Genomic DNA, 15,551 nt, shown 5'->3' with positions numbered 1-15,551 from the left:
ATAAAGCTACATACAAGCAATTCTGTGTGCAGGGTGGCCCGAGGCACTTTAAGGGTTGTGGCTTGGGGATTATTAAGAACCTCCTAGAAATAATTCTTTCCTAAATGGTCAGTTGATGGTGAGCGCTGAAAAGCCGATGGGTACTGCTCGGCCAAGGGATTGAAAAATCGGCCTTTGAGAAGAACAAAGTCAAAATGAAAGATTAGATTATAATTTCTCTGGGGTGGTGCCAGTTGGATCTAGGAAACTTAAACTCGTGAAAGAATGTGCTTAGAGCAGAAGATAGAAGCTGGTGGCTGTCTCTGCTCCCCTCTACCTCTCTCCCGGGTCCTGGGTCTCCCTAGAGGGGCGTCCGACCCGCGGCAGCCCCACTCCCAGCTCGAATCCCTCCCTTCAGGTCGCTCCAGGGCGGGCAGCCAAGGTGGGCCTCCCCAGGCGCTGTGATCCACATTTCACCTCCTAACAACCGGCCTCTCGGCCGGGGTTGAGGACTCAGCGAGGCCTTGACTCCGTGGGTCTGGGCAACAGCCGGCTCCGCCCCGCCCCGCCAGCCGGGTCCCTCCCCATCCCGCGACCCAACGGTCGTTCCCCGCCGCCGGCCCCGCCCCTCCCTGGCCGCCCGCGGCGCGCCGGCGCCTGCGCAGTCGCCCCAGAGCGCCCCGACCGGGATGGCGGCCGTTTTGGAGTCGCTGCTGCGAGAAGAGGTGTCGGTCGCAGCCGTCGTGCGGTGGATCGCGCGCAGCACCCAGGGTTCGGAGGTAACAGCGGTGACACGCCCCCAGGTCTGACTCGAAGCCGGTTCCCGCAGTGGAGTCCAGCCCTCCAGTCCCCTTCCTCTAGGGCGCCTGGCTGCCAGCCGGGCCGAGTGCACTCCAACTGGGCGCCGCTGCCCGGGCCGCCCACCCGAGGCGCGCCCTACGGCCCCGGCTGCTCACGGCCCGCGGGCCGGCGGCTGACCCTCTCGCCCCTCCACCTGTGCTTCTGCCCTAGGATAACGCTGGGGAGGCGGCCGCGCTGAGCTCACTCCGGGCCCTGCGGAAAGAATTCGTACCGTTCCTGTTGAACTTCCTGAGGGAGCAGAGCAGCCGCGTCCTCCCGCAGGGGCCCCCGACCCCCGCCAAGACCCCGGGCGCCTCGGCAGCCTTGCCAGGGAGGCCGGGAGGCCCGCCGCGGGGTAGCCGCGGGGCGCGCAGCCAGCTTTTCCCTCCGACCGAGGCCCAGAGCACCGCTGCCGAGGCCCCTCTGGCCCGCCGCGGGGGCAGGAGGCGGGGCCCGGGGCCGGCCCGCGAGCGTGGAGGCCGCGGCCTGGAGGAGGGGGTCAGCGGGGAGAGCCTGCCCGGAGCCGGGGGCCGGAGGCTTAGGGGCTCTGGCAGCCCCAGCCGCCCCAGCCTCACGCTGTCTGATCCGCCAAACCTCAGCAACCTGGAGGAGTTCCCTCCCGTAGGCTCGGTTCCCCCCGGCCCTACAGGGTGAGACTCAGCTCTCATGCAGGAGATGGGTACCACGAAGGCTCTGGGGAGTCAGTCATTCGAGCTCGGCGCTCCGCAGTGGAGCGCCAGGATGGGTAGAAGGCTGGGGGTGATGGTGAGGGTTTTTGTGGGGTTTTTTGGCAAGAGGTCTAGCTGTTGCGGTGGTGGAGGGGAGATGTTTGAAGATAGGAATTTGAGAAAAACCTGTGGCTACTCTCAGCAGGACGAAGCCTTCTCGCAGGATCAACCCAACTCCGGTGAGCGAAGAGCGGTCACTCTCCAAGCCCAAGACCTGCTTCACCTCACCCCCAATCAGCTGTGTCCCCAGTTCCCAACCCTCAGCCCTGGACACTAGCCCTTGGGGCCTTGGCCTTCCCCCAGGGTGCAGAAGTCTGCAAGAGGAGCGAGAGATGCTCAGGAAGGAGCGGTATGGCCTGGCCGCTCCTGGGGATATCGGTTTCCTCGCTGTGGGGGATCTTCAGGGGTTTTCCCTGAAATTGATTTCCCTCTTGGGGACTCTGGGTTTGTCTCCTGGGCTGTTGGTATCTTCTCTGGAGTGACCTGAGTGTGGCCGTAGCAGGGAAGCCAAGCTGACTGCTCATGAAATTTCTTTATTCCATAGCTCTAAGCAGCTGCAGCAGTCACCTACCCCCACCTGTCCCACCCCAGAATTGGGGTCGCCCCTCCCCAGCCGGACAGGAAGCCTCACAGATGAACCTGCAGACCCTGCCAGAGTGTCTTCCCGCCAGCGCCTGGAGCTTGTAGCCCTTGTTTACTCCTCGTGCATTGCTGGTGAGTGAGAGCGGAGGGAGCGGGAGTGGAGACACTTGTAGAACTTATGGGTAAGAGAATTGGTAAGGCACTTGGAACTGAGCCTTGGCTCCAAATGGTGCCCATACCATGGGCTTTCTTTTTGTATCTATCTAGAGAACCTGGTACCAAACCTCTTCTTGGAGCTTTTCTTCGTCTTTCAGCTCCTCACTGCCCGGAGGATGGTGACTGCCAAGGACAGCGACCCTGAACTAAGTCCAGCTGTCCTAGGTCAGTGAGCAAGCCTCCTTTTGAGACATGGGGTCTAGAAACGGGACCGTTCTTAACTGACAGCTTGGTACTGTCCTTCTAGATTCCCTGGAAAGTCCACTGTTCCAAAGCATCCACGATTGTGTCTTCTTTGCAGTGCAGGTTTTGGAGTGTCACTTTCAGTGAGTTTCCCTGGCTGAGGCATTTGGGCCTCATTCTCATCATCTGCTTAGCTCTCTGGCTGCTTGGGATATATGCTGGTGCTTAACACAGGGGCAGTGGTCCTGGACCTTCTCCTACCTATAATCTTTCTTTAATTTTGTGTTAAGGCTATGAATGTAGTCCCTGAAAGAATTGAGATCGGGCCAGGTGTGGTGGCTCACGCCTGCATTCCCACCACTTTGAGAGGCCGAGGCAGGACAGTGACTTAGGCCCAGGAGTTTTAGACCAGCCTGGGCAACATGACAAAATCCCATCTCCACCAAAAAAAAAAAAAAAAAAAGGCCGGGTGTGGGGGAGTGCGCCTATAATCCCAGCTACTTAGGAGGCTGAGGTGGAAGGATCTCCTGAGCCTGGGAGGTCCAGGCTGTAGTGAGATCACGCCACTGCAGCCTGGGTGACGCCCAGCCCAGCCTGGGTGACAGAGACCCCCATCTCAAAAAAAAAGAAAAAGAAATGGACCCCTGTGGTCTTGGCAGCTGAGCTTTGGTTTCTGGGTAATGTTCCTGTCCTGCTGTCTTGGTCCTTGCTCTGTAAAGTCTCATATCCTCCCCTTGACTTTCATTATCTTTGATCCTTGGCCCATGACCTTGCAGTACATATCTGGGCTTGCATACCTGCGCCATGCCTTAGAGATCCTCTGTGGTGTGCAGGTGCTTGCTTCCTACTTGCAGTCTGTGTTCTGGTCTCAGTCATAGGTGCTCTTGTCCCTGCAGGGTTCTTTCCAACCTGGACAAAGGGACCTTGAAGCTGCTGGCTGAGAATGAGCGGCTGCTGTGCTTCTCACCAGCTCTGCAAGGCCGCCTTCGAGCTGCCTATGAGGGCAGTGTTGCCAAGGTAGTAACCCCAGCTTAGTTGCCCACTAGCCTGGACCTAACCCTTCCTAGCTTTCATAAATTCAGGCAACCCTGCTGACGACACTTCAGTGTAATGTGAGCTAACTCTGGGCAAGAATAAGAGGGAGAAGTTTTCTCAGCATGACCCTGCAGTTCCTAACGTTCCTGCTGTATTTTAGGTCTCTCTGGTGATGCCTCCCTCTACTCAAGCTGTCTCCTTTCAGCCAGAGACTGACAATCGTGCCAACTTCTCCAGTGACCGAGCCTTTCATACTTTTAAGAAACAGAGGTGATAAGAAAAGGGACTTTTTGGGGAGGGAATGAGATGACATTTTTCTGGAATAGGCAGCTGTTTGGTTTCATAGAAATTAGGAGTTTGGCACCAACAGGTGGTGGGTTAGTCCCCCCAGGTCCTTCCTGCCGGCCATCATAGGGACCACCTGGCTTCATTCTCATGTGCATCTGTGAACCCCGGCGCTTAGCAAGCCATCTCACAGGTGTATGGTTTTAGTCTCAGGGTTCTCAAGCAAGAGTGTGCCAGGATGAACTGTCACTGCCCACAGAAGTACATGAAGCCTGTAATGTGCTGCTGGTCTGTAGCACTACTGTCATCATATAGAGAACTCTGGAGAAATTTAAAAATGGGGCTGCTGGCCGGGTGTGGTGGCTCACGCCTGTAATCCTAGCACTTCAGGAGGCCGAGGGGCGGATCACCTGAGGTCAGGAGTTTGAGACCAGCCGGGCCAACATGGTGAAACTCCGTCTCTACTAAAAATACAAAAATTAGCCAGGCGTGGTGGTGGGCACTTGTAATCCCAGCTACTCTGGAGGCTGAGGCAGGAGAATCGCTTGAACCCAGGCGGGGCGGAGGTTGCAGTGAGCTGAGATCGCGTCATTGCAATCCAGCCTGAGTGACAAGAGCAAGACTCCATCTCCAAAAAAAAAAAAGGTGGTGGGTGGGCTACGGATAGTTCTTCCAGGGGCAGGAAGGCACTGGTGGGAGTGAGTGCCTCGGCTGATCAGGCGTTCTTATGCGTCAGGGATGTGTTTTATGAGGTGCTGCGAGAGTGGGAAGATCACCATGAGGAGCCTGGCTGGGATTTTGAGAAGGGCTTGGGCAGCAGAATCAGGTGGGTGCTCAGACCTTGTCTTTCTTGTTCCTGGCAATGAGTAGCTCAGTGCTTGCTCGGTGGCAGGAGGGAGGAGGAGGGAAGGTTTTCCCCGCTCCTACCAGCCATTAGCTGTTTTCTACTATCCTCCGAAATCTCTTTAGTTATTGATAACTCTGCCTCTATTCGAAAGGGATGTGTCTCTCCAGCTCCTTCCACTCACAGGTGTCTTATCCTTGTTCTGTAGTGGCAATTGCTTAGAAAGTCCAAAGCTCTTAACTCAGGTTGCTTGAGGTTTTTTTGGCCCAAGTCACTGCTTAGACACATCCAGCCTCCATCTTCTCCATCCTCTAATTTGGGCAAGTCTGGTCACTGTGCAGGTAGATGCCTGGGCTCAGAACGCGAACCTCAGTCCAGTCATCTCCCTTCACATTGCTCATGAAACCCGCCGCCTGTTAGTGTGGCTGAAGACGGTCGGGGGGTGTGGTCGCATGATTTCTTGTTTGGTTAAGTGCACCTCTAGCCTCGGAGGACCTTGGTGCTGAGGGAGTGTCCCTTGCCTTCAGTGTCCCTTTGCAGGCTGGCTCTGGCTGAGGTCTGCTCAAGTCCCTGGTAAACGGCTGGGAAGTCCAGGGGTTGGCTGCTTCTCTCAGATCTTTCTCCCTCTCCCTCCTTTCCACACCCTTCATTCCTGCCTTCTATTCCTCAGGGCCATGATGGGTCAGCTCTCCGCAGCCTGCAGCCACAGCCACTTTGTTCGGCTTTTCCAAAAACAACTACTCCAGGTAACAGCCCCAGCAAGAGATTAATCCACATTAAACAGCAGGCATCACAGGCAGCCACTTAACGGCTGCACTTTGGGATAGGGCAGACAGCCTGGCAGGTCCTGGGCTGGAATTTGAACAAGAGTTCTACTCCTCGCGGAGTGGCTGAAACTCCAGTGGCCACAGAAAAGCCAGGGCACTCTCTTTGACACATCCCGGGCCCTGCAGCTCCTCTAGCCTGCTGCTGCCTTCCCTGATTTGTGCTGTGGTAAAGAGCCCAGGCTTAGTAAGTAGTCAAGCTTTGTTTCAGATCCTAGCTCTAGTGACCCTAGGCACATGCTTAACCTTGGAATTTAAGTTTCTTCACCTGTGAAACAATACTGTAATTCACATCTCAGAAAATCTATCTAAAGCACTTGACACAGTTGGCATTCCTTAAATGTTCATTACTTTCTCCTTATTTTTTGTTCAGTCCTTCCCTCCCACTTGCTGATTTTTTTAATTTCTCTCCTTCCTCTTCCACCCTAGATGTGTCAGAGCCCTGGTGGTGCTGGGGGCACCGTCTTGGGCGAGGCCCCAGATGTGTTGAGTATGCTGGGAGCTGACAAGCTGGGGCGGTTGTGGCGCCTACAGGAACGGCTTATGGCTCCTCAGAGCAGTGGGGGGCCCTGCCCACCCCCCACCTTCCCAGGCTGTCAAGGCTTCTTTAGGGACTTCATCCTTAGTGCCAGCAGGTAGGCTCCCCTGTGTCTTGCAAGGAATGGGGCAGAGGCCAGGAAAGGTTTGGCTTCCCAAAAGGGTAAATAGTTCTCCAGTCTCCTTTGCCTGGAGATAGGCTCCTTCCAGCTCCAACTTGCTGGCTTCATTGCACTTCTCATTCTGTCACCCACGTGGGTGATTTCATTGCTCCTGGGCCTCCCTGTCTGTCCTGCTGCTCCCTTCCCTCTGGAGTGCCCCTTCTCGATTCTGGCTTTTCCTGTACCTCTTCCAGTGCTTATGCCCCACCCACCCCTTCTTCTCAGCTTCCAGTTTAACCAGCATCTCATGGACAGTCTGAGCTTGAAGATCCAGGAGCTCAATGGTCTTGCCCTGCCCCAGCATGAGCCCAATGATGAAGACGGGGAGTCAGACGTAGACTGGCAGGTCCGAAAACAGAACAAGGGAAATAATGGGGTCTGACCCAGGAGGGAAGGGAGTATGTTCAAGAAAAACTTTATAACAGATCGGGAATTGTTCTGGAAGCCTCATGCTTGGACCTTTTACTTCCCTTGATTCCATGCAGGGTGAGCGGAAGCAATTTGCTGTGGTGCTTCTTAGCCTGAGACTTTTGGCTAAATTCCTGGGCTTTGTGGCTTTCCTGCCATACCGGGGGCCTGAACCTCCCCCGACCGGTGAGCTTCAGGACTCCATTCTGGCCCTCAGGAGCCAGGTGAATGGGCGGGGGATTCTGGTGAGGAGGGAGCAGGGAGGACCGGCCAGGCACTGAAGCTGACTGGTTTCCTTGGCTATTCTGGAAACCAGGCAGGTTAAAGGGCATCTCCCAGCCCTTCCTAGGGACCTGCCCCCTGACTGAGCTCTGGCCCTCCCAGGTCCCTCCGGTCCTGGATGTGCGGACTCTGCTGCAGCGAGGGCTGCAGGCCCGCCGGGCGGTGCTCACCGTGCCCTGGCTGGTGGAGTTTCTCTCCTTTGCTGACCATGTTGTTCCCTTGCTGGAATATTACCGGGACATCTTCACTCTCCTGCTGCGCCTGCACCGGTGAGTGGAACAAGGCTGAGGCTTGATGAAAGGATTCGGGACTCGGGACATTGGTCAAGCCTGCTATTAATAAAGAGGGTCGAGCAGTCTGCACTGTGCGTGTGGGGCCCTGGCCATAACTGAGCCCTGGGAGAGGCACGATTGGCTCCCCTGAGGTACAGTGGGAAATCATCTGCACTTTCATTGGCCTCATGCTGTTCCTGAGGTGGCCCCGCTGAGAGACAGTCCCCATGCAGGAGGCGGGGCTGGGGGGATCCTGCTTGCCAACATGGCCCCAGTCCCTTTTAGTTCTGCTTTTGCAAGCCAGTTTCCACTGATGGCGTTTGCCTCCATTCCCTTCCCCTTTCTGCTCAAACCCGTGTACTGCCCATTGATGTTTCAGGAGCTTGGTGTTGTCGCAGGAGAGTGAGGGGAAGATGTGTTTCCTGAACAAGCTGCTGCTACTTGCTGTCCTGGGCTGGCTTTTCCAGGTGGGCAGAGTGAGGGTCCAGATTGGAGAGAGGTTCTACAGCTGAAGATGGGGAGTGGGCAAATGTCTGAGTGCGAATGAGGCAAGGGCTGGAAGACGAAGGTTCAGGAAAGGCCTGGGGATTCCCATCATCTCAGAGGTGGCTGCTTTGAAGCTGGCGCCTACACCCTGGGACCGTGCAGGAGGTGGGGTGGGTTGGGTGGGGGTCTCTGAAGTTGACCTGAATTGTGACTGTCTTGCCAGATTCCCACAGTCCCTGAGGACTTGTTCTTTCTGGAAGAGGGTCCCTCATATGCCTTTGAGGTGGACACAGTAGCCCCAGAGCATGGCTTGGTGAGTGCTGGGGTTCCGCCAGAGCCATGGGAAACTCAGGAATAAAGGAAGTGGGCTGCCTGGGGAGGCCCAGCCAGGGGCAGATGTAACCCTTGTAAAGGCCCTGCCAACTGCCTGCTTTCTGGGTGCGCTGGGGGAGGGGCAGTCTGCTGACACCAACCTTTTCTCCCCAGGACAATGCGCCTGTGGTGGACCAGCAGCTGCTCTACACCTGCTGCCCCTACATCGGTGAGCACCGGTCTTCCCTGGACGGTCCTTGGTCTGTCCCTCCATGAGTACCCAAAAGGCACCCCCTTGGCCCAGCTCCCTTGGATATTGCTCCGTTCATAGTCATTCCTGGGTATCTGAGCCTCTTGACTCCACAAGTAAAGTCCATGATACTTAGGGAGGGGAGAGGGTTCTGGAACTGAGAACTTGGACTTCACTGATACAGGAGAGCTCCGGAAACTGCTCGCTTCGTGGGTGTCAGGCAGTAGTGGACGGAGTGGGGGCTTCATGAGGAAAATCACCCCCACCACTACCACCAGCCTGGGAGCCCAGCCTTCCCAGACCAGCCAGGGGCTGCAGGTAAGGGCAGGGCGGAGACAGCCGTGGGGAAAATGAGGGGGGGTTGGGGGCGGGGACAGGGAGGCTGGAGGAAGCCTTGCTGCCTCTCCCTCCTCCCCCCAGGCACAGCTCGCCCAGGCCTTTTTCCACAACCAGCCGCCCTCCTTGCGCCGGACCGTAGAGTTCGTGGCAGAAAGAATTGGATCAAACTGTGTCAAACATATCAAGTAAGAGTGGGTTAAGGATCCTGGTCTCATCGCCCTACCATTTTTTCCCCTTTTTCCTCAGTTGCTAAACTGAGAAGGTCAGCCAGAGGGTGGGTGTGGGGCTGAAATGGCTGACACATTTTGAAGCAAATTTCTGACCAAATTCCCATAAATTTTCAGCCTCTTTCCGATTAACCCTCCAACCATCCCCAACCTTGCTGTCCCTGCTGCAGGGCTACACTGGTGGCAGATCTGGTGCGCCAGGCAGAGTCACTTCTCCAAGAGCAGCTGGTGACACAGGGAGAGGAAGGGGGAGACCCAGCCCAGCTGTTGGAGATCTTGTGTTCCCAGCTGTGCCCTCACGGGGCCCAGGCATTGGCCCTGGGGCGGGAGTAAGCAGCGCTGGTCCATTTGATCCACTCTCCTCTTGGCTTTCTCTGTCCTTTCTTTCCTCCTTCACACTTACTCTTTTTTCCCTTTCTTCTCTTCATGCCTCCTTTTTTCTTCTCCCTGCGCCCATTCTCTATAAGCCCTGCACTGGCTGTAGGCCTTCTGTGGCACAAAAGCCAAACCTAGGTTTGGGAGCGTGTGTGATGCTGTGGGGCTGGCAGTTGGGCTTGTCTTTTCTCTGGCACCTGGGGTGGGGCGGGAGGGCAAACGGTGCCTCCTTCCAAGGTACAGCCTCCCAGGTCAGGGGCTTGGTGCACTCGGGGCATTTACTTCTGCAGCCAGGCTGAAATACCCAGAGATCACTGACCCCATCTGTCCCCTTTTAGGTTCTGTCAAAGGAAGAGCCCTGGGGCTGTGCGGGCGCTGCTTCCAGAGGAGACCCCGGCAGCCGTACGTGTGAGGGAGGCCTGCAGCTAGCAGGCCAGGCAGTTGTGGGGAGGTGCACGGAGTAGTCTGAGGCTGCGGGAGGGTGTGTGGGGGCGGGGTCAGTGCTCGACTCTGGCATCCTTTGTTGCACCCAGCCCTCCCCTAGCCCCTGACTCTGTAGTTCTGTTTCGCAGGTTCTGAGCAGTGCAGAGAACATTGCTGTGGGGCTTGCAACAGAGAAAGCCTGTGCTTGGCTGTCAGCCAACATCACAGGTAAGGTCCTGGATGGGGGAGTGGCTGAATCAAGTGTTTAAAAAGTGGACTGGCAGAGAGTCAGAGGCATCTTGTGGGCGATGGGACTGAGAGCCAGTAGGAAACAGCAAAAGGCATGGGTTAGCATGGTGAACCTGTGCAGGGCCCTCCCGTGATTCCTTTCCCATTCTCCCTCTGCCCCACAGCACTGATCAGGAGGGAGGTGAAAGCAGCAGTGAGTCGCACACTTCGAGCCCAGGGTCCTGAACCTGCTGCCCGGGGGGAGCGGAGGGGCTGCTCCCGCGCCTGTGAGCACCATGCTCCCCTCCCCTCCCACCTCATCTCCGAGATAAAAGTACACGGCTACCCTACTCCCTTTGGCTTCCCTGCTCCCACCCCCCTGCTCTGTTCCTGGTTTTTCCTTTCTCACATCAGCTCCAGGATTTTTATGTAGAAGCTGTCTGTGCTGTCCAGCTAGTCCCCGTTTCACTCATTACTGAATGGGGGTTAGGTAGGGCAGAGCTGAATTGAATGGTTTTCCTAATTGTCACTCTGACTTTTTAATCATCCAAAAGGGGAAAAGGGCAGCTAGGACATTTTTGACTAAATGCTTATTATGCAGATGGTGATGAGAGTGCGGTGGTGAATGGCTTGATAGCAAATGAGTCTCTAGGAGGCAGTCGCCCCAGTATTTGGAGACAATTTCAGAAATGTTCTATGTGGGAGGTGATGCTTGTTTAGTTACAGGCAGTAAGAATAAACCATCAGTTCTCCTAACTTTATTTTAAAACTCAAAGACTCTCTAGAGCAGGAGTCAAGAAACAGCCCATGGACTGAAGCGAGCCAGCCCCTTGTTTTGTGAGTGAAGTTTTAGTGGAATGCAGCCATATTAATTTGTGTACGAGCTGCCTATGGCTGCTTTTGTGCAACTACTGAACAGCAGAGTTGCATAGTTGGGACACAGACTTTATGGCCTGCAAAGCCTAAAATATTTACTGTCTGGTTCTGGTCTAGGGTAATGATCTAGGAATAGAGATTGGAATAGGGACTATAAGGTACAATGACTAAAAAATGGAGATTATGTAGGAGGGAGAGGAAGAGGCTTAGTGGCCATTTGATACTGGTTGTCAATATGCAGAGGATTTCTGTATTGAAAGCTCAGCTCTCCAGAGAAGATGAACAGAGAGGCTTGAGAGACAGACGATACTAAGACGGTATCTGATAGGCCGGTTTCCTTACATGCTTCAAGAATAAGATGCCCTATGGGAGTTGGTTAGCTACAGTTTGGTCCCAAGTTGAGTGACGTTTCCCATGCTATGGCAGCCTACTGTCCCTCAGCTGACCTCCATCTGTTCCCTCTTTTGTTGTCCACATGGTTGCTTCCCCTGGCTGTATTATCCTGCCCAAGTCCCAGGTCTAGGGGCAACTTGGCTTTACTCACCATATCCCGGGGCCCATTCTTCTGCCTCTCTCCACTGGCTGATCCCTGTCCCAAGCCAAATTCTCTGTGGCATCCTGGCCCCCAGCGCAAGGTGATATCTCCCCCTGCTCTTCACAGGACGTGCTCTCCTTGGCCGTGGGGCCACGGGACCCTGACGAGGGAGTCTCCCCAGAGCATCTGGAACAGCTCCTAGGCCAGCTGGGCCAGACGCTGCGGTGCCGCCAGGTGAGCTGTGGCATCTGCCACCGGGGGGCTTTTTTCTGTGTCCTTGTGTGAGACCTGATAACCAGAGCCACACTGGCTCAGGGCCAGTTCTCGCAGCAGTAAGCATGGTGATACCTATGGTCTCTCTTTCCCCCCCACCCCAACCGCAGTTCCTGTGCCCACCTGCTGAGCAGCATCTGGCAAAGTGCTCTGTGGAGTTAGCTTCCCTCCTCGGTATGGTTGCTTTCCATCAAATCCCTCTCTTGCCTGATCCCCCAAATCTCAGGGTTGGGTACAAGCAAGATTAGAAACAGAGCCCTCTTCTGTCCCTTTTTTTTTTTTTTTTTTTTTTTTTGAGACGGAATCTTGTTCTGTTGCCCAGGCTGGAGTGCAGTGGCACGATCTTAGCTAACTGCAACCTCTGCCTCCCGGGTTCAAGCAATTCTGCCTCGGCCAAGTAGCTGGGACTACAGGTGCCTTCCACCACGCCTGGCTAATTTTGGTATTTTTAATAGAGATGGGGTTTCACTATGTTGGCCAGACTGGTCTCGAACCCCTGATCTGCCCACCTCAGCCTCCCGAAGTGTTGGGATTATAGGTGTGAGTCACCGCACCCGGCCTGCCCCCATCTTTTAAAGCTTGGCTTTCCTCTTTCCACAGTTGCAGATCAAATTCCTATCCTAGGGCCCCCGGCACAGTACAGGCTGGAGAGAGGGCAGGCTCGAAGGCTTCTGCACATGCTGCTTTCCTTGTGGAAGGAAGACTTTCAGGGGCCGGTTCCGCTGCAGCTGCTGCTGAGCCCAAGAAATGTGGGGCTTCTGGCAGACACAAGGCCAAGGGAGGTGAGTCAGACGGAACAAGAAGCCCTCTGCAGTCACACTCTGAACATCCACCACCCTTGCCCCAAACTATGAGCTGCTCTGCATCCTTTATTTCCCCTTCCTGTTCCACACAGAAATGGGCTCCATTTATCCATCTCAAGTCTCTTCCCAGCAGCTCTGCCCTTTGAGATCTCAATCTCTGTCATCAGGGTCACTCTGTCGTCCTCCTAGCAACCCTGACCTCGGTGTGTTTTGCAGTGGGACTTGCTGCTATTCTTGCTACGGGAGCTGGTGGAGAAGGGTCTGATGGGACGGATGGAGATAGAGGCCTGCCTGGGCAGCCTCCACCAGGCCCAGTGGCCAGGGGTAAGGAGTCTCCTGTCTTTTAGGTGGAGAGAGAACAGGTGTTACATATCCCATCTGTCCTGAAAGGAAGCAAGTGATGGGGCCAAACTAAGTGGATTTTTGTCAAGAGTCTTCAGGGCCACCCTGAAATTGTCCCGATTTGAGTAGTTATTATATGAGGGACTGTGTTAGTGGGAAGACGGACGAAAGGCAGGCAGTTAGTTGGAAAGCAGCACAGCCCATTATATGGGTTTTTAAAATTAGAATAACCTGGATTTTAACGGGAATAATAATTTCAAGATGAAGTAGATGCACTCAGTAGTACTCAAAAACTGGTCAAGCCTGTGCCTCCATCAGAGTTCGCTCCCTGCCATAACTTCAGCCTCCCAGAGTACTAACAAACAGACAAGGTTTCATGTCCATTTCAGTGTGGAGGGCAGTTGAGAAAAAATAATATAGCCAGCCAGGTTGTGGTCTTTAGTGACAAAGGATGAGCCATTGAGAATTATTACATGCTGCCTTTTCCCTCATCTTTCTATGTATTCCAGGACTTTGCTGAAGAATTAGCAACACTGTCTAATCTGTTTCTAGCCGAGCCCCACCTGCCAGAACCCCAGCTAAGAGCCTGTGAGTTGGTGCAGCCAAACCGGGGCACTGTGCTGGCCCAGAGCTAGGGCTGAGAAGTGGCCCTGCCTTGGGCATTGCACCAGAACCCTGGACCCCCGCCTCACGAGGAGGCCCAAGTGCCCAATGCAGACCCTCACTGGTTGGGGTGTAGCTGGGTCTACAGTCAGACTTCCTGCTCTAAGGGTGTCACTGCCTGGCATCCCACCACGCGAATCCTAGAGGAAGGAGAGTTGGCCTGATTTGGGATTATGGCAGAAAAGTCCAGAGATGCCAGTCCTGGAGTAGAAGAGGTGGTGTTTGTTTATCTCTTGGATACTAAATGAAATGAGGTGTGTGGGCTTGTCAACACAGAATTCAAGCCTCATTTGCTATCCCAGCATCTCTTAAAACTTTGTAGTCTTGGAATTCATGACAGAGGCAAATGACTCCTGCTTAACTTATGAAGAAAGTTAAAACATGAATCTTGGGAGTCTACATTTTCTTATCACCAGGAGCTGGACTGCCATCTCCTTATAAATGCCTAACACAGGCCGGGTCTGGTGGCTCATGCCTGTAATCCCAGCACTTTGAGAGGCCTGAGGTCGGCGGACTGCCTGAGGTCAGGAATTCAAGACCAGCCTGGCCAACATGGCAAAACCCCATCTCTACTAAAAATAAAAAAATTATTAGCTGGGCATGGTGGTGTGTGCCTGTAATCCCAGCTACTCAGGAGGATGAGGCAGGAGACCTGCTTGAACCTGGAGGTGGAGGTTGCAGTGAGCCGAGGTCGCACCACTGCACTCCAGTCTGGGTAACAGAGCGAGACTTTCTAGAAAAAGCCTAACAAACAGATAAGGTAGGACTCAACCAACTGAAACCTGACTTTCCCCCTGTACCTTCAGCCCCTGTGCAGGTAGTAACCTCTTGAGACCTCTCCCTGACCAGGGACCAAGCACAGGGCATTTAGAGCTTTTTAGAATAAACTGGTTTTCTTTAACAAGGGCTTGATGTCTAATCATTGTCACCTGTCTTCTCCCTTTAGAAGGCTGCAGTCTCGGGTGGGCTGTAGGTGGAGCGCTGTAATTGTGGCTTTGCTCTGTGCATTACAAGGTGAGCTACCTTGGCTCTTAGAAATGCCTGTATATTCCACTCTAGAGGGCTAGTCTCTGGTGGCAATATCTATTAATTTAATTTATCGCCAGTGGTACTGACTTCTCCTGTGTAACTCGCTTTATTTGTGGGAGAAAGGGTTAGGATAATGTAGTTTCCACACACAAGATATTCCCTACTGAACCACATGGTGGGGCAGTGTTCTTGTTAAGCTTGTTAAGGCTAAGGTGTTTGTTTGATTGATTTGGCTTGGAGTTTCTCAGAGCAAAAGCATTGCTTCTCGATTACAGCTGTATCAAGCTCTATAAATGAGCCACTGATTTTGACAGGTTCACACCTGTAATCCCAGTGCTTTGGGAAGCCGAGAGAGAGGACTACTTGAGTCCAGGAGTTAGAGGTTACAGTGAACTATGATTGTGCCACTGCACTCCAGCCTGAGCAAGAGTGAGACCCCCATCTCTTTGAGGGGAAAAAAAAAAAGCACTACTGTGATCATGTGCATTAATAACCAGGAGTTGGACTGATAATATAATCCTCAGGAGGACCTAAAGGGGTCCACTTGTGTGACCATGGTAGAGCCAGGAAATCCCATCAACCTAGAAAGTAAAAAATGGGAGTTTTCCTCAGTCACCACCTTGTGATCATACTTCTCCCAAACACCATGCCTTTCCCTTCTCCTCAGCTCAGCTACTCCTTTAACAAGTTTCTATATCTGAACCATTTTCCCCTGATCTCTTCATTTTCAAAGGCCTTTATCTTTATCCTTTAAATCCAATTTGTTCTGAATGCCTGGGAACCAAAAAAGCTTTAAGGAATGCTTTCTCGGCCGGACACAGTGGCTCACACCTGTAATCCCAGCACTTTGGGAGGTCAAGGCGGGAGGATCACTTGTGCTCAGGAGTTTGAACCAGCCGGGGCAACATGGGGAAGCCTCATCTTTAAAAAATACAAAATTGGTGAGGAGTGGTGGTCCATGCCTGTGGTCATAGCTACTTGGGAGGCTGAGGTCAGAGGATCACTTGAGCCCAGGAGGTCAAGGCTACAGTGAGCCATGATCACACCACTGCAGTCCAGCCTGGGCTACAGAGCGATACCCTGTCTGTCTCAAAAAAAAAAAAAAAGCTTTCTATGCCCAGAGACCAGCACTGGGTGTGATTAAACCATAGCACCGCCCCCACCCAGGAAGCTTAGGGTCAGCGTCAGGCTTGTGGCTACTCCTTGACTTGTTC

At 54.0% G+C, this 15,551-nt stretch overlaps 1 protein-coding gene across 9 annotated transcripts, besides 4 other annotated features; it reads left to right on the top strand.

The window, feature by feature from the left end:
• Positions 457 to 706: a silencer, noted in NCBI's record as "silent region_6378". NCBI's record gives its function as "represses an Ori minimal core promoter by ATAC-STARR-seq in GM12878 lymphoblastoid cells {active_cell/tissue: GM12878}" and the evidence as "EXISTENCE:reporter gene assay evidence [ECO:0000049][PMID:35858748]".
• Positions 643 to 14,227, top strand: CDAN1 (codanin 1). 9 transcript variants are annotated; one of them, NM_138477.4, is made up of 28 exons: positions 643 to 758; positions 991 to 1,469; positions 1,693 to 1,896; positions 2,092 to 2,261; positions 2,397 to 2,510; positions 2,593 to 2,671; positions 3,425 to 3,545; positions 3,724 to 3,833; positions 4,585 to 4,674; positions 5,363 to 5,438; positions 5,946 to 6,151; positions 6,440 to 6,560; positions 6,700 to 6,846; positions 7,007 to 7,173; positions 7,556 to 7,643; positions 7,886 to 7,975; positions 8,149 to 8,203; positions 8,409 to 8,542; positions 8,645 to 8,748; positions 8,961 to 9,119; positions 9,504 to 9,567; positions 9,738 to 9,816; positions 10,002 to 10,150; positions 11,354 to 11,461; positions 11,611 to 11,674; positions 12,101 to 12,282; positions 12,520 to 12,627; positions 13,155 to 14,227. In NM_138477.4, exons 1-28 carry the CDS (start codon positions 669 to 671, stop codon positions 13,278 to 13,280), a joined length of 3,684 nt encoding a protein of 1,227 aa, NP_612486.2. In that variant the 5' UTR covers positions 643 to 668; the 3' UTR covers positions 13,281 to 14,227. The 9 variants fall into 9 exon arrangements, 8 of the variants coding, with proteins under 8 accessions (NP_612486.2, XP_005254233.1, XP_011519573.1 ...); XM_005254176.6 differs by having other exon boundaries at positions 1,690 to 1,896; XM_011521271.3 differs by having other exon boundaries at positions 643 to 782.
• Positions 897 to 1,036: a silencer, noted in NCBI's record as "silent region_6377". NCBI's record gives its function as "represses an Ori minimal core promoter by ATAC-STARR-seq in GM12878 lymphoblastoid cells {active_cell/tissue: GM12878}" and the evidence as "EXISTENCE:reporter gene assay evidence [ECO:0000049][PMID:35858748]".
• Positions 1,127 to 1,416: a silencer, noted in NCBI's record as "silent region_6376". NCBI's record gives its function as "represses an Ori minimal core promoter by ATAC-STARR-seq in GM12878 lymphoblastoid cells {active_cell/tissue: GM12878}" and the evidence as "EXISTENCE:reporter gene assay evidence [ECO:0000049][PMID:35858748]".
• Positions 6,588 to 7,115: an enhancer, noted in NCBI's record as "H3K4me1 hESC enhancer chr15:43022854-43023381 (GRCh37/hg19 assembly coordinates)". NCBI's record gives its function as "activates a minimal SCP1, AML or CMV promoter by ChIP-STARR-seq in primed H9 embryonic stem cells {active_cell/tissue: H9 hESC(primed)}" and the evidence as "EXISTENCE:reporter gene assay evidence [ECO:0000049][PMID:30033119]".

Source organism: Homo sapiens, chromosome 15, assembly GCF_000001405.40.
Source record: "Homo sapiens chromosome 15, GRCh38.p14 Primary Assembly".
Lineage (NCBI taxonomy): Eukaryota > Metazoa > Chordata > Mammalia > Primates > Hominidae > Homo > Homo sapiens.
The sequence above is the reverse complement of the archived record's forward strand: the minus strand, read 5'-3'. Positions and strand labels throughout refer to the sequence as shown.